The 22,608-nt window shown below is 43.3% G+C and overlaps 1 protein-coding gene across 7 annotated transcripts in view, besides 2 other annotated features; it reads right to left on the minus strand.

Annotated features, from left to right (window-relative positions):
* ENTREP2 (endosomal transmembrane epsin interactor 2) overlaps positions 1-22,608 on the minus strand; it is a 557,698-nt gene that overhangs the window by 33,884 nt on the left and 501,206 nt on the right. For all 7 annotated transcript variants that reach the window (NM_001387217.1, NM_001387215.1, XM_047432323.1 and 4 more), the window contains one exon: positions 139-246. In NM_001387217.1, coding sequence (NP_001374146.1) covers positions 139-246 — 108 coding nt within the window. The remainder of the gene's footprint in view (positions 1-138; positions 247-22,608) is intronic.
* Positions 10,321-10,830: an enhancer, noted in NCBI's record as "H3K27ac-H3K4me1 hESC enhancer chr15:29454119-29454628 (GRCh37/hg19 assembly coordinates)". NCBI's record gives its function as "activates a minimal SCP1, AML or CMV promoter by ChIP-STARR-seq in primed H9 embryonic stem cells {active_cell/tissue: H9 hESC(primed)}" and the evidence as "EXISTENCE:reporter gene assay evidence [ECO:0000049][PMID:30033119]".
* Positions 10,831-11,339: an enhancer, noted in NCBI's record as "H3K27ac-H3K4me1 hESC enhancer chr15:29454629-29455137 (GRCh37/hg19 assembly coordinates)". NCBI's record gives its function as "activates a minimal SCP1, AML or CMV promoter by ChIP-STARR-seq in naive and primed H9 embryonic stem cells {active_cell/tissue: H9 hESC(naive and primed)}" and the evidence as "EXISTENCE:reporter gene assay evidence [ECO:0000049][PMID:30033119]".

The raw sequence follows: 22,608 nt of genomic DNA on the forward strand, positions 1-22,608 counted from the left end.
GAGGGCAACACAAGGTGGCCTCCAGGTGCCATGGACTGTCAGGGGCCGCTGTCCTCACAGCATCTGGCTGAAGCCAGAAGCGTCCACTCCTACACTGGTTTCAAACCGCGCAGAGGAGGAGGGGATCAGGCCACTCACCATCTGCAGGACATCGGAGGAGACCATCTGCATACAGCACATGGCTGTGGCCAGCGCACACACGATAGTGGACAGGACGTTGAGGGCACACACGCTGAAGAGGAGATCCTGCGAGGAAAGGTGCAGGAGAATGTCAGCCTCATCCCGAAATAGATAGCAGAATCCTTAGCCCTCCTGCCAGGGCCCAGAATGAGCCGAGGTCGATGACCATCCACTTCATGGAGGTTTTGTTTTGTGTGTGTCTGTGTTTTCCTCATAATCAAAATTGGCCTTTCATAGAAACACATTCGTTTATTCCGTTACAATGATGAGCAAAGTATTCATAATACTCAACAATGTGTTTTACAATTTTGATAATTATTAGGTAGTCAGTAACATGTCTAAGGAAATCATAAGGTGGCCAACATTTAAGGAGGTGGGCCATTTTTATCAAACACAACCTATAACTCAAGTGAAACTTTTTATCTTGAGATAATTGTATATTCACATGCAATTGTAAGAAATCCTACAGAGAGATCTTGGGTACCCTTTACTCATTCTCCCTTAATGGTAACATTTGGCAAATCTATAGTACAATATCACAGCCAGATACTGACATTGGTATAGTCAGGATGCAGAATAGTCCCATCACCACACGGGTCCCCCCAGTGTTGACCTTTTATAGACACACTCACCTCCCTTTCCCTGCTCCCCATTTAACCCCCAGTTCTGATCCCCTGTCAATCGCTAGTCTGTTCTCCATTTTTTATAATTTTGTCATTTCAAGAATGTTGCATAAGTGGATTGCACAGCATGTAACCTTTCAGAATTGGCTTTTTCCACTCAGCATAATTCCCTTTAGACTCATCCAGGTTGTTGCATGTATCAGTAGTTGACTTCTTTTTATTGCTGAGTGGTATTCCACCATATGGATGTACCACATTGGTTTAATCCTCAACAACTGAAGAATATCTGGTTTTTTGGTATTCCAGTTTTCCAGTTGTGGGCTATTACAAATAAAGCTGTTGTGAGCCTTTGTTTATAGGTTTTTGTGTGAACATAAGTTTTTGTTTCTCCGAGATAAATGTCCAGGAGCACAATTGCTGATTTGTACAGTAATTGCATGTTTAGTTTTATTTTAAAAACTGAAAAAATGCCTTCCAGAGTGGCTGAACAATTTTTAATTCCCACCAGCAGTGTATGAGTGATTGGGTTTCTCTGCATGATTGCCAACATTTGGTGTCACTGTTTGTGTTTTAGCTATTCTCATAGGTGCATAATGATACTCCTTTATAAAATGTTTTATTTTGCATTTCCCTGATGCTAATGATGTCGAACATCTTTTCATGTGCTTATTTGCCATCTAGAGATCCTCTTTGGTAAAATGTCTGTTCATGTTTTTTGCCCATTTTCTAATTGATTGTAATGTTTACTTTTTTTTTTTTGTAGTGTTGAGTTATGAGAGTTCTTTATGTATTCTAGGTACTAGTTCTTTGTCAGATAGGTGGTTTGCAAATATTTTCCCCCAGACTGTAGCTTGTCTTTTCATGTTTCACATAGAGTCTTAGTCAGCTCAGGCTGCTATTACAAAAATACCATAGACCAGGTAGCTCTAACAACAGTCACTTCTCACAGTCCTGAAGTCTGGAAGTCTGAGATCAGGGTGCCAGCCTGTTGGATTCTGGTAAGGGCCTGCTTCCTGGTTGAAGATGGCTAATGTCTCACTGTGTCCTTGCTTAGTGAAAAGAGGGCAGGGGAGCTCTCTGGTGCCTCTTTTAAAAGTGTATTAATCCCATCATGTGGAATCTACCCTCATGACCTAACAACCTCCCAAAGGCCCTGCCTCCTATTAAATAATAACATATTGGGAATTAGAATTTCAACATATGAATTTTGGAGGGACACAAGCATTAAGTCCATTATATCTGAGTTTTTAAAGAACAAAAAATTTTAATGTTCTTGAGATCCAACTGATCAACTTTTGTTCCATACTTTTGGTGTCAAGTCTAAAACTTTGTCAAGCCCCAGATTGTGAACAGTTTCTCCCATTTTTTTCTGAAAGTTTTTATAGTTTCATAGTTTGCATTTAAGTCTATGCTCCATTTTTGTTCTGAGACAGGGTCTTGCTCTGTTGCCCAGGCTGGAGTGCAGTGGCACAGTCATGGCTCACTGCAGCCTCGACCTTCTGGGCTCAAGTGATCCTCCCACCTCAGCCTCCTCAGTAACTGAGACCACACATGCATACCACTGTGCCCAGCTAATATCATCCATTTTAAGTTAAATTTTGAATAAGATGTGAGTTTTAGGTTTAGGTTCCTTTTTATGTTTTTAATTTCATTTTCCAAATGTTGTTAGTACATAGAAATGTGATTGATTTTTGTATGTCTATGTGATATCTTGAGACTTTGCTGAAATTGATATCTTGGGACTTTGCTGAAATTATTAGTTCTAACAATTTTTTGAAGATGCCAGGGGATTTTCTGTGTAGACAATCAGGCCATCTGCAAGTGTTTTATTGATTTCCTTCCATTTTATTACCTTTTATTATTATTATTGTTCTTTTTTTTTGCCTCGTGGTGCTAGCTAGAACCTTGAGCATTATAAATAAAAATATAAGATGACTAAGATCATGAAAGCAGACATCTCCATCTTGTGCTCTTAGAGGGTAAACTTGATGGAGTTTTAACAGTCGAAGTGCAATATAGCCTTCATTGAGAAGCTTACTCTCAAATCCATGTCAGAAATAGAAAAAAAAAAGATTTAGAATGATAGTATGTCCTTCAATTAAATCTTTTCATATACAAGTGTACAAAATACTGGACACACTCAAAAAGCTATCAGAAAACATGAATCTTTCACCACAAAGGCTATGGCATTAATCAGATTAGTTTCAGTTATCTAATCAAGGGGTTGGCAAGTGCTCAAGAGGAGACGGGGAATGCCACCCTCACTGACATGCTCTGTGCGTGTGCTAGGATGTGGGCACACAGAGTCTAGCAGCATCCTCAGGGCTCGTTCATGTATACATGAGCCCATGTGTTCCAATCTGTAACATCCTCTGGACAATTCCCTGTTCTCCTACAAACATCACTGCCCAATCCCCTTCCTCAGAAGCTGCTCATCAGTTCTCAAGCCCACACTGTGAAACAGTAAAGAAGTGTGATTAGGATAATATCATGGAAGGTGGTTAACATACAGTGTTTAAACACTTTCCCAAGTTTATAGAACCCCATGCACATGTGAAGGCAGAAAAATGAGTCCTGAACTTAAGAAGCGTTAGGCAGAACCGGCCGGGCGTGGTGGCTCATGCCTGTAATCCCAGCACTTTGGGAGGCCAAGGTGGGTGGATCACAAGGTCAGGAGATCGAGACCATCCTGGCTAACACGGTGAAACCCCGTCTCTACTAAAAATACAAAAAATTAGTCGGGCGTGGTGGCCGGCGCCTGTAGTCCCAGCTACTTGGGAGGCTGAGGCAGGAGAATGGCGTGAACCCAGGAGGTGGAGCTTGCAGTGAGCCAAGATCGCGCCACTGCACTCCAGCCTGGGCAACAGAACGAGACTCCATCTCATAAAAAGAAAAAAAAAAAAAAGAAGAAGCGTTAGGCAGAACCAAGGCAAGGCTCAGTTTAGGGCTAACTATTCCCCACTTTGGAGGTAAGGCCTATCCGAGTCCCTGAATGATGTGGGAACAGGCACTGTTCCTGTGTGAGCACCAGGCACTGTTATCACTAATCCTTTCAGGCAGTTCTTTTCCCAGACTCAGGTCGTTTCTTCATATGCACGTGCTAACCAGCATCCAACTGACAACTCCAGGCAGACCCTCTGAAGACCCCCATGTTTCTCTCCTGGTGCAGCTCTGCCCTCGATGGTGCTCTGTCCTAAGAACTCTTGTCTCCAGGCCTTGATCCCCCTCAGACTCTCAGCCCTCTACGCCCACCCCAGGGAGTCTGCAGGGACCCTGCTGTGTTCCCTTTCCAGCACTGAACCTGGAAACTGTCTCAAGGCAGTAAGCTGGGGCAATCGTAGGGCTCACCTCATTTATCACCCACCCCTCAGGGATCAGGGTTCTTCATTGCCTGATAGTGTCTTCCTACACTGTGTTCATTTTGGGGGGCTGTTTCAGGCAGGAGGTTAAATCCAATGTCCTGCTACTCCATCTTGGCCAGAAGCTCTTGGTGGCTTTTTTGTTTGCGTTTTCTAATGTTTGTAGCAGGACTAGGCGGACTGCCTTAGGGATCCTACTATAGGCATCTCCACTGCCCTCCCTGCTCCTACAGCTGCTAGACATGGAGCAGGATGGGGGCTTAGTTGTGGCAAACAGCAGGCACAGGTGGGGCTGGAGGGAGGCTGAGGAGCCTAGATTGTATTTTGCAGGTAATGGAATGCCACTGAAGATGTGTGATGCTGGGAAAGAGGTCATACAACCTGTTTTTTGTTGTTGTTGTTGTTTGTGGTGGTGGTGGCGTTTTTGTTTTGTTTTGTTTTGTTTTTGAGATGGAGTCTTGCTCCAGTCCATGCTGGAGTGCAGTAGCGTGATCTTGGCTCACTGCAACTTCCATCTCCCAGGTTCAAGCGATTCTCCTGCCTCAGCCTCCTGAGTAGCTGGGTCTACAGGTGCCCGCCACCATGGCTGGCTAATTTTTTTTGTATTTTTAGTAGAGATGGGGTTTCACCATGTTGGCCAGGCTGGTCTCGAACTCCTGACCTCAGGTGATCCACCCTCCTCGGCCTCCCAAAGTGCTGGGATTACAAGTGCAAGCCACGGTGCCTAGCCCATGCAACCTGTTTTGAGAATTGATTGAGAAAGACACCTTTGCAGGGAGGGCCTAGCACAGAACTATAGATGGAGTAAACATCGGTTGAAGTGAGACTGGACACAGGGCAGTGACCCGTGAGGCGGTACCGGAGAGGAGTCAAGCAGAGCCCAGGAGGAGGCATGCAGATGCCGGTCTGAGGGTGACTCTGAAGTTCAGAACAAAAGGGCGTGGCTGTTTACTGGAGTAGGGGAGACCGGGATGAGGGTGCAGATATAGTAGAAAGATGATTCTGGTGAGTGGAAACATGAGATGCCTGCGCGTGGGCCAGGGACTGTGGGAGAGAAGCAGTCTTAACGAACACCTCAGCAGGCCAGGCGCAGTGGCTCATGCGAGGCGGGAGGATCACTTGAGGTCAGGAGTTCGAGACCAGTCTGACCAACATGGTGAAACCCCGTCTCCACTAAAAATATAAAAAAATTAGCCGGGAGAGGTGGCACATGCCTGTAATCCCAGCTACTCAGGAGGCTGAGGCAGGAGAATCGGTTGAACCTGGGAGGTGGAGGTAGCCGTGAGCCGAGATCATGCCATTGTATTCCAGCCTGGGCGACAAAGCGAGACTCTGTCTGGAAGAAAAAAAATAAAAAATAAAACACCTGAAGTGGTCTGGGACATGTGGAGGCTGAGTTACCAGTGGGCCTGACCCACTGAGATGTTGGCAAATGGTTGGAAATTTGGGGCTGGGGCTGACGATGGAGATCAGAACTGGAGGTGTGGACCAGGAGTCATCCCTACAGAGTTCAAATGTGCCTTCACCTTGCGGATGTCCTTGATGTATCTGCGGGCCCCTGTGTGTCCTCATTCCCCTCTCCAGATCCATCAGACTTCAGGGGCCTGGGGGCCTCCGCAGGCTCCCTACAGAAGAGGGCATTTCTTTGATGAAATTACCATTCTCACCTCAAAGATACACCTCAGCATAGTTTTCCTCTAAGTGACATGAATTTTGTGCTGGATTCTAGAAAACTGACAGATTTATCCATGTGCGCAGTAGCTGGCTGAGTGCCTTTTCTCTCCTGTGAGGAAGAGCTTCTAAAATGTCTTAAGGCTCAGCCAGAAGCTTTAGCACATTTTTGAGCAGGAAGTTGGACTCACTGTAGTCTTAAAACAATCCTGCTGGTGAATGAAGTCATAATTAGAACTCTTAAGTATGTATTTTATATATCTCAGGAGAACAATTCAAAGTTATAACTAAAATAGCGACATCTTTTTTTTTTTTTTTTGAGATGGAGTCTCGCTGTGTCGCCCAGGCTGGAATGCAGTGGCGCGATATCGGCTCACTGCAACTTCCACCTCCCAACTTCAAGTGATTCTCCTGCCTCAGCCTCCCGAGTAGCTGGGATTACAGGCATACGCCACCACGCCCAGCTGATTTTTGTTATTTTTAGTAGAGACGGGGTTTCACCATGTTGGCCAGGATGACCTGAGGTGATCCAGCCGCCTTGGCCTCCCAAAGTGCTGGGATTATAGACGTGAGCCACTGCTCCCGGCCAATAGCGACATCTCTTAATGTACCATTGCTAAAATATAAGCAATACCTTTACTTTGTCCTCAATCTAGAAATTTCAACTTTATTGACCACATAATCCACTGTCATTTAAATGAATGCCTTTCTACAAATAATATTAATTTCGCATATGCTACCAAATGAAACTACTCACAGACAGAAACACCAACTCTGACCTCTGTTTGCATACGCATCATGAGGCAGCCTGCTTTACGTCTCATGAAAGGTATTCATTTGAAATACATGCCAGAAAGACTTTTCCCCTCCAGCTGTTTAAATACTTGATGTTTTTCTAAGTAACCGCAAACCACCTGGTATTGCGTTTATGTGTTTCTTCAGAATTCTTTTTTGGCTTAAATGACATTATCTCTGCCTTTTTTTTTTTTTTTTTTGAGATGTAGTCTCACTCTTTCGCCCAGGCTGGAGTGCAGTGGCGTGATCTCGGCTCACTGCAACCTCCACCTCCCGGGTTCAAGGGATTCTCCTGCCTCAGCCTCCCAAGTATCTGGACTACAGGAGCACGCCATCACTCCCGTCTAATTTTGATGTATATTTTTTTAAGTAGAGATAGGGTTTCACCATGTTGGCTAGGCTATCTCTGCTTTTTGAAAGTTTTATCAGAGTCCTTTACAAATACTGAAATCCACATTCTATAAAATTCCTTTACAAGGTGATTCAAAACGGCGAATATGAGAGAGAGGCGGGTCTTTCATTGCTGATACTGAGTTTTGCTACTGGATATTCTGATGTTATTAGCTTTTTGATGTTATTAATGTTATAAAGTTAAGGAAGTTATGTATCTAATAAATGATGTATAGAACAAAAACAAGAGAAAAAAGTTTTAGATACTTGGGCAAAGCTACAGTTGATAAATTATTTTGAAAATCTCTCCAGTCTACGTAAGTTATGGATATTAATAATAAGATTAACAGAGAAAAGCGACAGCAATGACAATGTACATACATATAGCCTACACGTTAAAAACATTAAACAGTTCAGGACATTGAGCGGGTCGTGGTAGTGTATCTGGAATTGGTGGGTTATTGGTCTCACTGACTTCAAGAACGAAGCTGTGGACCCTCGCGCTGAGTGTTACAGCTCTTAAAGGTGGCGTGTCTGGAGTCTGTTCGTTCTGATGTGTTTGGAGTTTTTTCTGGTGGGTTTGTGGTCTCGCTGGCCTAGGAGTGAAACCACAGACCTCCGCGGTGAGTGTTACAGCTCTTAAGGCGGCGTGTCTGAAGTTGCTCATTCCTCCCGATAGGTTCGTGGTCTCGCTGGCTCCAGGAGTGAAGCTGCAGACCTTCACGGTGTTACAGCTCATAAAGGCAAGGTGGACCGAGAGAGTGAGCAGCAGCAAGATTTATTGCAAACAGCATAATAACAAAGCTTCCACAGCATAGAAAAGGACAGGGCCGGGTTGCTACTGCTAGCTTGGGCAGCCTGCTTTTATTCTTATCTGGCCCCACCCACATCCTGCTGATTGGTCCATTTTACAGAGAGCCGATTGGTCCATTTTACAGAGAGCTGATTGGTCCGTTTTGACAGGGTGCTGATTGGTGCGTTTATAATTCCTGAGCTAGACACAAAAGTTCTCCATGTCACAACTAGATTAGCTAGATACAGTGTCCACACAAAGGCTCTCCAAGTCCCCACCAGAGTAGCTAGATACAGAGTGTCGATTGGTGCATTCACAAACCCTGAGTTAGACACAGGGTGCTGATTGGTGTGTTTACAAACCTTGAGCTAGACACAGAGTGCCGACTGGTGTATTTATAATCCCTTAGCTAGACATAAAGGTTCTCCAAGTCCCCACCAGACTCAGGAGCCCAGCTGGCTTCACCCGGTGGATCCCGCAGGTGGAGCTGCCTGCCAGTACCGCGCTGTGCGCCTGCACTCCTCAGCCCTTGGGTGGTGTATGGGATTGGGTGCCATGGAGCAGGAGGCGGCGCTCGCCCGGGAGGCTCGGGCCGCACAGGAGCCCACGGAGACGGGGGAGGCTCAGGCATGGTAGGCTGCAGGTCCTGAGCCTTGCCCAGAGGGAAGGCAGCTAAGGCCCGGTGAGAAATTGAGCACAGCAGCTGCTGGCCCAGGTGCTAAGCCCCTCACTGCTCCAGCAGGCAGGGCCAGCTGGCCACTCCCAGTGCGGGGCCGCGGAGCCCACGCCCACTTGGAACTCCTGCTGGCCTGCAAGTACCACGCGCAGCCCCGGTTCCCGCCCACGCGTCTCCCTCCACACCTCCCTGCAAGGTGAGGGAACCGACTCTGGCCTTGGCAAACCCAGAAAGGGGCTCCCACAGTGCAGCGTGGGCTGAAGGGCTCCTCAAGTGCCGCCAAAGTGGGAGCCCAGGCAGAGGAGGCACCGAGAGCCAGGGAAGGCTGCGAGGACTGCCAGCACGCTGTCACCTCTCAGTAGCTCACACCTGTAATCTCAGCACTTTTGGAGGCTAAGGTCAGATCATCTGAGGTCAGGAGTTTGAAACCAGCCTGGCCAACATGATGAAACCCTGCCTCTACTAAAAATACAAAAATTAGCCAGGCGTGGTGGCAGGCACCTGTAATCCCAGCTACTCAGGAGGCTGAGGCAGGAGAATCACTCAAACCTGGGAGGCAGAGGTTGCAGTGAGCCAAGATCACACCACCGCACTCCAGCCTGGGTGACAGAGTGAGACTCTGTCTCAAAAAAAAAAAAAAAAAAAAAAAAAATCAGGACGTTGATACCTTTGCTTGCTGGACAAAATGAGGACAAACTATCTTACATTTATTTCCGCTAGTTCATTCAGTAGTTTTTTTCCTATGTCTTCTCTCTTTGAATAGGAGAGAGGTCTCATGGGAACCTATTATCAGTCAAGATATAATGATAGAAGGTATGATGATAAGGAGAGTTCCACAGCATAAAACACAAGCGGAAGAAATATCCAGCAATAGCTGTATATGTGGTAATAATTATAAGGGATGGGTGTTGGGCTTTATCTGAATTATTATCTTAAATGCCCACACCATTTATTCTTTGTTGCCTTGTGATGGTAGACATTGGTCATGGACCTGACGTTCCGTGCAGATCTATGTTGGGAGAGGCAGTCTGCCATGGGCCCTGAGCATGCCCTGAAGTTCCTGCTGGGTATGCCAAGAATGTAAGGCCTTGACTGCTCTTTACCTGACCCATTTCCCAGGGCTGTGTTTGCACCAAGAAACCTTGAGGAAGGAGGTAACGTCTCCCCTAGACAAAGTGTAGGTTCTCTACAAAGACAGGGATTCCCCAAGCTCAGTGTTTCTGCCCCATAACGCAGCTCACCACACATGTGCAGGCATCCGTGGTGGGCCCTTAGCATCACCCTGAGACCCCAGGGCATGGGGAACTGACACACACTAGCCTAGAGCTCTGGCTACTGCTTTTGCCATGAATAATAAAGTCCCTTGTCTCTGAACCAGGAATCTCATGTCTTTTTGCCAGGAAAGTAACAGTAAACAGTAACAGACTAGTTTGTTAGCTTGAAAGTAGGTTAAAAGCTCAGACCCTGCAGTTCCTGGCAGTTTATTTCCATCTCCATCTTGTAAGAACATCAAGAGCAGAGACCAAGTCTTTTGCTACTCTGTATGGTAGAATATCTTATTCAAAATAGGTGGTTGCTAAATATTTGAAATTTTACAGGCTCATTGTTCTCTTCTGAATTGTAAGTTCAGACTAGAAGGAAATGCATAATTTCCAAGCTTCTAACCACACACAGAAAATTCACCTTCACCTTTAAGTAAAGTAATGCAGCACACATAGGATCATGGTGGACGGGAGGCAGGACTAGATTGCAGCTCTGAACAGAGCAATGTGCAGAGGCTTGCATTGTGAATTTTAGCTCCAGATCGACTGCAAGAACAAACCAGCAACCCCGAGAGGACCGACAGACCTCTGAAGGAAGCAGACTGCTCTTGCAGGACCTGGAAGACACCCCAAATACTGTGAGTGCCCAAACTGCGGAAGTGGGAAAGGGAGAGCATCCTCTCCCAAACACACACGCCCACTGGAGAAAAGGAAGGTCTGTTTGCAGGAGAAGTTTCCGACCTTACCTGGAGCTGAGTCAATTTAGAGAGTCGAGCGAAATACAGAAGTAGAGGAAGCAGCGGGAAAGGCCCTGGGAGCTCCCTGGGTCCCCAAGCAGGTCATTCCTGCCTGGCACCACAGGGATCCACCAGGAGGGCAGCCAGAGGAGCGAGGGTAAAACTCAACAGGGAGAAGGAAATCTCTAGCTGAAATTTGTAACAATTTGAACAGGGTTAGAAGCCTCCTGGCCAGAACTCGGGGGAGGGCGCAAATCTGGTGTGCAGATTCTCCACAGGTGGGAAGAACAAGCCCTTTCTTTTGCAGCTGGGAGGTGGGTAGCCTGAGGCAAGTTCTCAAGCCTGTCTCACCCACTGCCCGAAAACAGACTTGGGGCGGTTGGATGGGGGCATGGTGGGAGTGAGACTGGACTTTCAGTTTGCATGGGAGCTGGGTGAGGCCTGTGACTGCCAGCTTTCCACCACTTCTCTGAAAACCTGCATGACTCAGCAGAGGCAGCCATAATCCTCCTAGGTACATAACTCCAGTGACCTGGGAATCTCACACCCATCCCCCACAGGAGCTGCAGCAAGACCGGTCCAAAGAGAGTCTGAGCTCAGATACGCCTGGCCCCACCCCCACCTGATCGTCCTTCCCTACCCACTCTGGTAGCAGAAAACAAAGGACATATAATCTTGGGAGTTCTACAGCCCAGCCCACAGCCAGTCCCTCTCAAACTACTACAGCTGATGCTTTCTGGAAAGCGCCACCTCACAGCAGGAGGCCAACCCGCACAAAAATAGAGCATTAAACCACCAAAGCTAAGAGCCCTCACGAAGTCCACTGCACACCCCCCACCACCTCCACTGGAACAGGTGCTGGTATCCATGGCTGAGAGACCCATAGACGGTTCACATCACAGGACTCTGTGCAGACAACCCTCAGAACCAGCCCGGAGCTGGGCAGACTTACTGCGTGGCCAGACCCAGAAGAGAGACAACAATCACTGCAGTTGGGCTCACAGGAAGCCACCTCCATAGGAAAAGGGGGAGATTACTCCATGAAGGGAGCACTCCATGGGACAAAAGAATCTGAACAACAGCCTTCAGCCCTAGACCTTCCCTCTGACAGAGCTTACCCTAATGAGAAGGAACCACAAAACCAATGCTGGTAATATGACAAAATAAGGCTCTTGAACAGCACCCCCCAAAATCACACTAGTTTACCAGCAATGGATCCAACCCAAGAAGAAATCCCTGATTTACCTGAAAAAGAATTCAGGAGGTTAGTTATTAAGCTAATCAGGGAGGCACCAGAGAAAGGTGAAGCTCAATGCAAGGAAATCCAAAAAACGATACAAGAAGTGACGGGAGAAATAGCCAAGAAAATAGATAGCTTAAAGAAAAAAAAATAAATAAAAAATCCAGGAAAAATTGGACACACTTATAGTAATGCAAAATGCTCTGGAAAGTCTCAGGAATAGAATTGAAAAAGTAGAAGAAATTCAGAGCTCAAAGACAAGGTCTTTGAATTAACCCAATCCCACAAAGACAAAGAAAAAAGAATAAGAAAATATGAACAAAGCCTCCAAGAAGTCTGGGATTATGTTAAATGACCAAACCTAAGAATAACCAGTTTTCCCGAGGAAGAAGAGAATTATAAAAGCTTGGAAAACATATCTTTAGGAATAATAGAGGAAAACTTCCCTGGCCTTGCTAGAGACCTAGCTATCCAAGTGCAAGAAGAACAAAGAACACCTGGGAAATTCATTGCAAAAAGATCATTGCCTAGGCATATTGTCATCAGGTTATCCAAAGTTAAGACAAAGTAAAGAATTTTAAGAGCTGTGAGACAGAAGCACCAGGTAACCTATAAAAGAAAACCTATCAGATTAACAGCAGATTTCTCAGCAGAAACCCTACAAGCTAGAAGGGATTGGGGCTCTATCTTCAGCCTCCTCAAACAAAACGATTATCAGCTAAGAATTTTGTATTCAGCAAAACTAAGCATCATATATGAAAGAAGATACAGTCTTTTTCAGACAAACAAATGCTGAGAGAATTCGTCACTAACAAGCCACCATTAAAAGAACTGCTAAAAGGAGCTCTAAATCTTGAAACAAATCCTGGAAACACATCAAAACAGAACCTCTTTAAAGCATAAATCACACAGGACCTATAAAACAAAAATACAAGTTAAAAGGCAAAAACAAAAAACAAAAAACCAAAGTCCACAGGCAACAAATAGCACAATGAATGCAATGGTACCTCACATCTCAATTCCAACATTGAATGTAAATGGCCTAAATGCTCTACTTTAAGGATACAGAACTGCAGAATGGATAAGAACTCGCCAACCAACTATCTGCTGCCTTCAGGAGACTCACCTAACACATAAGGACTCACATAAAGTAAAGAGGTGGAAAAAGGCATTTCACACAAATGGACAAGAGAGTAGGGGTAGCTATTCTTATATCAGACAAAACAAACTTTAAAGCAATATCAGTTAAAAGAGACAAAGTGGGACATTATATAATAGTAAAAGGCCTTGTCCAACAGGAAAATATCATAATCCTAAAAATATATGCATCTAACACTGGAGCGCCAAAATTTATACAACAATTACTAATAGACCTAAGAAATGAGATAGACAGCAACACAATAATAGTGGGGGACTTCAATACTCCACTGACAGCACTAGGCAAGTCATCAAGACAGAAAGTCAACAAAGAAACAATGGATTTAAACTATACCTTGGAACAAATGGACTTAAAAGATATATACAGAACATTTCATCCAACAACCTCAGAATACACATTCTATTCAACAGCACGTGGAAATTTCTCCAAGATAGACTATATGATAGGCCATAAAACAAGACTCAATAAATTTAAGAAAATTGAAATTATATCAAGCACTCTCTCAGTGGAATCAAACTGGAAATCAACTCCAAAAGGAACCTTCAAAACCATGCTGATACATGGAAATTAAATAACCTACTCCTGAATGAGCATTGGGTCAAAAACGAAATCAAGGTGGAAATTAAAAAATTCTTCGAACTGAACGACAATAATGACACAACCTACCAAAACCTCTGGGATATAAGCAGAGGTGGTGCCAAGAGGAAAGTTCATAGCCCTAAACGCCTACATCAAAAAGACTGAAAGGGCACACACTGACATTCTAAGGTCACACCTCAAGGAACTAGAGAAACAAGAAAAACCAAACCCAAACCCAGCAGAAGAAAGGAAATAACCAAGATCAGAGCAGAACTAAATGAAATTGAAACAAACAAACAAACAAAAATACAAAAGATAAATGAAACAAAAAGATGGTTCTTTGAAAAGGTAAGTAAAACTGATAGACCATTAGTAAGATTAACCAAGAAAAGAAGAGAGAAAATCCAAATAACCTCATTAAGAAATGAAACAGGAGATATTACAGTTGACACCACTGAAATACAAAAGATCATTCAAGGCTACTATGAACACCTTTACACACATCAACTAGAAAACCTAGAAGAGTTGGATAAATTCTGGAAAGATATAACCCTCCTAGCTTAAATCAGGAAGAATTAGATACCTTGAACAGACCAGTAACAAGCTGCAAGACTGAAATGGTAATTACAAAATTACCAACAACAAAAAATGTCCACGACCAGACAGATTCTAAGAAGACTTTCTAAGAAGAATTGGTACCAATCCTTTTGACACTATTCCACAAGATAAGAGAAAGAAGGAACTCTCTCTAATTCATTCTATGAAGCCAGCATCACCCTAATACCAAAACCAGGAAAGGACCTAACCAAAAAAGAAAACTACAGACCGATATCCTTGATGAACATAGATGCCAAAATCCTTAACAAAATATTAGCTAACTGAATCCAACAACATATCAAAAAGACAATACATCATGATCAAGTGAGTTTCATACCAGGGATGCAGGGATGGTTTAACATATGCAAGTCAATAAATGTGACACATCACATAAACAGAATTAAAAACAAAAATCACATGATCATCTCAACAGATGCAGAAAAAGCATTTGATAAAATCCAGCATTGCTTTATGGTTACAATTCTCAGCAAAATTAGCATACAAGGGACATACCTCAATGTAATAAAAGCCATCTATGACAAAACCACAGGCAACATAATACTGAATGGGGAAAAACTGAAAGCGTTCCCTCTGAGAACTGAAACAAGACAAGGATGCCCACTCTGACCACTCCTCTTCAACATACTACTGAAGTCCTAGCCAGAGTAATCAGACAAGAGAAAGAAATACAGGGCATCCAAGTTGGTAAAAAGGAAGTCAAACTGTCACTGTTTGCTGACGATATGATCATTTACCTTGAAAACCCTGAAGACTCCTCCAGAAAGCTTCTATAACTGATAAAAGAATTCAGCAAAATTTCCAGATACAAGATGAATGTACAGAAGTCAGTAGCTCTTCTATACACCAACAGTGACCAAGCCAAGAATCAAATCAAGAACTCAACCCCTTTTACAATAGCTGCAAAAAAATAAAATACTTAGAAATATACCTAACCAAGGAGTCAAAAGACATCTACAAGAAAAACTACAAAACACTGCTGAAAGTAATCATAAACAACACAAATAAATTGAAACACATCCCAGGCTCGTGAATGGGTAGAATCAATACTGTGAAAATGACCATACCAGCAAAAGCAATCTACAAATTCATTGCAATCCCCATCAAAATACCACCATCATTCTTCACAGAATTAGAAAAAACAATTCTAAAATTCATATGGAACCAAAAAAGAGCCCACATAGCCAAAGCAAGACGAAGCAAAAAGAAAAAATCTGGAGGCATCGCACTACCTGATTTCAAACTATACTATAAGGCCAAAGTTGCAAAACAGCATGGTACTAGTATAAAAATAAGCACATGGACCAATGGAACAGAATACAGAACCCAGAAATAAACCAAGTACTTAAAGCCAACCGATCTTTGACAAAGCAAACATTAACATAAAGTGGGGAAAGGACACTCTTTTCAACAAATGGTGTTGGGATAATCGGCTAGCCACATGTAGGAGAATGAAACTGGATCCTCATCTGTCACCTTATACAAAAATCAACTCAAGATGGATTAAAGACTTAAATCTAAGACCTGAAACTATAAAAATTCTAGAAGATAACATCGGAAAAACCCTTCTAGGCATTGGCTTAGGCAAGGATTTCATGACCGAGAACCCAAAAGCAAATACAATAAAAACAAAGATCAATAGCTGGGATCAAATTAAACTAAAGAGGTTTTGCATGGCAAAAGAAACAGTCAGTAGAGTAAACAGACAATCCACAGAGTGGGAGAAAATCTTCACAATCTATACATCTGACAAAGGACTAATATCCAGAATCTACAACAAACTGAAACAAATCAATAAGAAAAAAACAAAGAATCCCATCAAAGAGTGGGCTGACATGAACAGACAATTCTCAAAAGAAGATATACAAATGGCCAACAAACATATGAAAAAATGCTCAACATCACTAATGATCAGGGAAATGCAAATCAAAACCACAGTGTGATACCACGTTACTCCTGCAAGAATGGCCATAATCAAAAAATCAACAAACAGTAGATGTTGACATGGATGTGGTGAACAGGGAGCACTTCTACACTGCTGGTGGGAATGTAAACTCGTGCAGCCACTATGGAAAACAGTGTGGAGACTCCTTAAAGAACTAAAAGTAGAGCTACCATTTGATCCAGTAATCCCACTACTGGGTATCTACCCAGAGGAAAAGAATTCATTATATGAGGAAGATACTTGCACACGCATGTTTATAGCAACACAATTCAATTCACACTTGCAAAATTGTGGAACCAACCCAAATGCCCATCAATCAATGAGTGGATAAAGGAACGGTGGTATATATATATGATGGAATACTACTTAGCCATAAAAAGGAATGAAGTAACAGCATTTGCAGTGACCTGGATAAGATTGGAGACTCTTATTCTAAGTGAAGTAACTCAGGAATGGAAAACCAAACATCGTACGTTCTCATTGATATGTGGGAGCTAAGCTATGAGGATGCAAGGGCATAAGAATGATACAAAAGCATAAGAATGATACAATGGGGAGAATAGTGGGAGGCGGGAAAGGGATAAAAGACTACAAATAGGGTGCAGTGTATACTGCTCGGGTGTTGAGTGCACCAAAATCTCACAAATCACCACTAAAGAACTTACTCATGTAACCAAATACCACCTGTACCCCAATAACTTATGGAAAAAAAGAATTTAAAAAAACCTACTACACATAGTTACAAACCCAATAAAGAAAGAAAGTAATGCAGAGAAAGACTCTGTACAAAGACTCTTGTTGGTAGCACAATCAGCGTGTGTGTGTAAAATCTGTAATTTAAATTTTCCACGAAATTTCTAGAGTGATGAGACACATCCTGGGGCAGATCTAGGACTGTTTAATTTGTCTCTGTAGAAAGCAGTTATAGTCTACAGAGGTCTTTGTGGCGGGCTTAAATACTGATCCTACAAAAGGAGCTAAAATTAGGCTGTCATATGGAGAAGGTAAGTGATTCATAGAGAAATCTGTGAAGCTATAATTTCAAGAGGCAAACATCCATTTACAATCCCTAAAAATGTCGATGGATTTTGGCCTTGCTTTGGCCACTCAGGCACCACCAGTAACACATGTGCTGCTCTAAGAAGGCAGGATTGCTCCCCACATGGTGCCTGCTGTTTGCTCAATGGCACTTTTAACTCTGGGCAAGGACCCAGGAGGGAGTTCACACACTCTCCGCAAGGGTTCAGAACTGCACCCTATTTGATAATTGAAAACCTGGCTTTTGTCATCTGAAACAATAGCTTTTACTCTTTAGTGGATGGCTGTAAATTGCCTACATGATCATCTGTGTAAATAATCGTAGACTAATTATTTTCTTACAGTTCTACGAAGTTTTAAGAAGAAAACTATTTGCCATTTTTCTGATATTCAAGGCAAAGTAATGAGGCAAAAAAAGTTTCTGTGTGTATACACACTTTTGTATCTTTGTGTGTGTATATATGAGATAGATTATACACATACATGCATATATACATACAGAAATCTTTCCTATAAATTCTGGATTTCTGAAGACTCACTGTGATCCTAATGAGCCTCTAGCTTTAAAACAATGTTGAACAAAACACCATTTTTAAATATTTGGCTTTAACCTAAATTTATGGGAATGAAGAAAATAAACAAGCATTGTCAAGAACATTTTGGGAAAAAAAAGGCTTTGCACACATCAAAATGTACCCTAAATCTACAATAATAGTATAGGGTGGCATCAATAAGGGACAGAATAGAGATCCTATTATAATAAAAGAAGTACACCACATTACTTGTGTTGGGATAATTGGCTGTCTTTAAAAAACAAGTAAGACAGATCTAGATGTGAAAAGAAGAGAGGAAAATTCTTCCTCGTGAACCTAGATGCAAAAGTCCTAAATAAAATATTGAAAAATTAAATACAGTAGCATTTTAAAAAACATATTATGACCAAATGTGGTTTATTCCTATATTACAAGGATGTTTTAACATAATGTAATTTATTAATGGAATTCACTACATTAAATGAGAAAAACTATATGACAATCTCAATAGATGCAAAATAGCAGTTGGTATTTCAACACTAGTGTAAAAGCCTCTAATAAACTTGAAATAGACAGGAGCTCCCTAAACTCAAGAAACCCTACAGCAAACATCTGGAAGGAGATGGGGATTGCTGCCAATATCACTTCTGTTCTACACAGGTCCCAGTCATTGGAAGAAGACAGGCAAAAGAAGTAAAGTGTGTTCAAACTGGGAAGGAAGAAAAACTGTCCAAGATGATACAATTATTCATACAGAAAACTCAATAACATTTCCAAATATTTAGAACTAAATATAATAGTTGTGCAATGTTGCTGCATATAAAATCAATATGCAGGCCGGGTGCGGTGGCTCATGCCTGTAATCCCAGCACTTTGGAGGGCCGAGGCAGGGGGATCATGAGGTCAGAAGATTGAGACCATCCTGGCTAACATGGTGAAACCCCCATCTCTACTAAAAATAAAAAAAATTAGCCAGGCGTGGTGGCGGGTGCTTGTAGTCCCAGCTACTCAGGAGGCTGAGGCAGAAGAATGGCGTGAACCCGGGAGGTGGAGCTTGCAGTGAGCTGAGATCGTGCCACTGCACTCCAGCCTGGGTGACAGAGCGAGACTCCATCTCAAAAAAAAAAAAAAAAAAAAAAAAATCAATATGCAAAATTCATTCACTAGCAACAAACAGCAAGTATAAGTTTTTTAAAGATACGATTTACAATAGCAAAAAATGTAAAGTAGCCAAGAATAAATATAGAAAAAGGTGGAAAAATGTGTTGAGAACAAATAAATAATGAGATCTTGTAGTCATGAATAGGAAGATTCAATACTATAAATACATTAATTCTTTCCAAATCAACTTATAAATCCAATGGAATTCCAACAAAGACCACAACAAGACTGTGTGTGTGTGTGTGTGAGTGTGTGTGTGTGCATAGTCTGTGACAGGATCATTTTAAATTCCTCATCTCCCTTCTCTCTCCCACCCCTGCTGCCCCACACCATGTGAGGACACAGTGACAAGGCTTGCCTTTGTAAAACAGGAAGAGGGCGCTTGCCAGAACTCGACCATGCTGGCACTTTGATCTCAGACTTCTAGCCTCCTGACTGTGAGAAATAAATGTCTGCTGTTTATACCACCCCATCTAAAGCATTCTGTTACAGCAACCTGTCTTAGTCTATTTTCTGCTGCTGTAACGGAATAACAGACTGGGTAATTTACAAAGAATGTAAGTCTATTTGGCCCACAGTTCTGGAGGCTGGGAAGTCCTAGAGCATGGGGCCAGCATCTGGTGGGGGTCCTCCTGTGGTGGAAGGTGAAAGGCAGAAAGCTGAAGTGAGTGTGTGAGACAGAGAGAGAAGCCAGATTTCCTTTATAACAACCCACTCTCACCATAACTAACCTCTCCCATGCTAATGACAATCCATACATGAGTGCTCCACTCTCACGACCCAATCACCTATTATTAAATTCGACCTCCAACACTGACTGTGGCATTGAGGATTATGTTTCCAACATATGAACTTTTGGGGGACTATTCAAACCACAGCACAGCCTGAACTGATTAAGACAGTGGGCTTTTCTATCTTCTATCATTAAACCATCCGAAACACCATTAGTCCTCTGACTGCAGGTCCAGCTGTCCTGAGCAGTTCAACATTTCATATTTCGAGGAATGCAGGTTCACTCATAAACAACACCTGTGACAGAGCCACCCTCACTCACATCCTGGACACTCTACTGTCTGTTCACCCCTGTGCATTCCAGGATGTAACAGGCAAGATGATCCCAACTCAGGCACAGCTGCAGTGTCTACAGCTGCAGGAGGTCCTGTCTCCCTCCTGCCCCCAGCAAGAAAACCCAAGTAAGGTATTTTTTTTTAAGGTATAGTTTTTTTCCTTCAAGTTTCTAATTTTGACACAATGAAAATATTGTATTTATATTAGCAATACCCGATTAGCAATTTCATGTAAAGGCGATTAGGTACTCATAAAAGGTCTCAAGTACTCCAACTAAATCAGTCACTGGTTAATAACAATGATCCACGAGCTGTTTTCCTGGTTTTCATGTGGAATAATTGGCAAGGAAAACCATACATGAAAAAAGAAAAAAGAAAAAGATCAGCAACTTTGCAGCTTTAGCCACTATGTGATGTGCTATCAAAAAGCCACCTAGAATCTTTTTTCATGAGTTAAAACACTACTGTCATCTATAATCCTGAACGGTAAGGTCTAGAAACCAATACTGACAGAGGTGTCCAAACAGCTCCTCTTGCAGTGCTGTGGGGCACATTTCTTTTAACCTTAATTGACTTCAATTACTGTGCTTCATCTCCCATGGCAAAATAATTCCCCAAAGAAACAAAGAGTATTAGAGTGTTTTCACTCATGAAACAGCCCGTAATGCACCTCTTTTGCTTAGGAATTGGAAGCCAACTAGATTTGAGCCTGCTTGAAAGAAAATCTCATCACTGAAGAATCCATTAGTGGGCCCTCCAAAATCCACACAGTCTTAAGGCCAGGGACCAACTGGACTTCAGGAATAGGATCAAAAAAGCCAATTCCAGTTCCATCGTGATGTACTGATTTAACTTTGATTGTGAAGGACAGTAATTTATTGAGTAATTTATCTTGCTAACCACCATATTAATCCAGTATCCAATCAGCACTTCTCTCATTCAATTCCAAGGAGCAGGAGTCCTAGATGGTTGGAAGTGTCAGACAGGAAGGGAAGAGTGTCTTCTAGTGTCTTGCCCAGTAATTGTACGGGGCTCCAAACTCCTGGGGAGGGGGAATGATGTCTGACTTGGAGCAGGCCAGTGGGGATGGACAGAGAAAAATTTCAGCAGGTGCCCATTGCTGGAGTGCAATAAGTAGAGCCCGGGGTGATGAGAGGCCTGGGGGAGAAGGGAGAGGGAGGGATGACAGAGAGGACAATAGGAACACAGGGTCCCTTGCCCTTCATAATGCCCTTGATTCTTGTTAAAGGGAAATGCCACGGATGTGGTTGGTGGAGCCAACATCTCTGCCTCATCCTTGATCATCCCACACACCCCACATCCAAATTCTCCCTGGCGTGTTGACCCGGCTACCAACCTCACCTGCAATCCTCCCTGGGCTCCAGCTCCACCTGCCCTGGCTGAACCTCCCCCTCTCACCTGGACTCTGAGGTGGCCTCCCAGTACCTCAGGTCTACTCTTCCCTGTCAGGACACCTGTTTTAGCCTAAGTCGGCTCCTGTCCCTCCCAGGTTACAGTCTGTGGCGGGAGGCCCACCAGTGATAAAATCTCCGCGCCTTCCCCCGTCCCTGGCTGGCACCCTCTGCAGCCTATTTCTGCCTCATTTCCACGGAGGCTGTCTCCCATTTTCTCTGCAGACCAGCCCCCAAGTACACATCGTGCTACCATAGTTCCACACTGGTCTAGCTCTCTCCGCTTCCCAGTCCCCCGCCCAGGGAAGGGGCTCACTGAACCAGCCTGGGCACGTGTCCACTCCCAGGACAGTCCACTGCAGGAATGGGCGGGGCAGGGTGCACAGGAGGGTGCTGTAAGCTGGGCCTGCTTTCTAAGCCAACCTGGGTGATTGGGGAGCCAACTCACCATGGGGCCGCTGCCTAGCCCCTCTGCTTCTACGTGACTATGATAGAAGACGGCACTGAAGCCTTCCCTCTGAGAAAGTTCTCAGATCTTCTTTTGGTCACTTCTGGCTCACACCCCACAAAAGATCCCCTGGACGGAAGCCTCAGCTCTCTTATTTCTGGGGATGTGGCTTTGAGGGTTTCCTCATCGCTCTGAGCCTTGATCTCATCTGTGAGGGGATGACTGGCTTAGACTTTAAACTCAAGTAGGTGAACCCCGGGGCACTTGGTAAAGGGAAGCCCTCCTGGGAGGATTCCGCCAGGGTGTGCAGAGCCACCCGTGATAGCAAGTGATCTCATTACTGGAAGGTTCTGAATCGGGGGGAGATGGTCACCAGCACCTCGGAGGGTTGGGGCACCATTCATCTTCTGATTGGTTATCATATTTGGTTTGATTTCAGTCACCCCAGAGGACCAAAATGACTAAAATAAGTAAGTTATTCATCTATAAACATTATGAAGCATTTTCAGGCATTTAACAGATGTAATAATTACCTATATCTAAGTCATATTTGAAGGGTAACTAAATTTTAATTGCTTTATAATATGTCTTATAATCTTTTTATTAGCAATTATATAAGCAATTGATTGTAACTATCTGTAAGTGAAAACTAATATCTGGATAGCCAAAAAAAAAAAAAAAGCCAAAAAATCCCACTCTTTCATTTAGATGACTGGGGAATATTGAAGAGTCGGGGAAATAGCAGGCTCTATTTTAAGCATCATTTTAAAGGAAATATAACACAATCTTAATCGTAGGTGGAAAAAACTCCAAAGAGTACTTGTTATGATTGCAAATTCCTAAGTAAAAGCCATCTACAGATGTGACTTGTTTCCAGGTATTACTCTTGATTTTGGGGACATGTCTCTTCCCTTGATGGGAGACC

The sequence above is a fragment of the Homo sapiens genome, chromosome 15, assembly GCF_000001405.40.
Source record: "Homo sapiens chromosome 15, GRCh38.p14 Primary Assembly".
In the NCBI taxonomy this organism is placed as follows: Eukaryota; Metazoa; Chordata; class Mammalia; order Primates; family Hominidae; genus Homo; species Homo sapiens.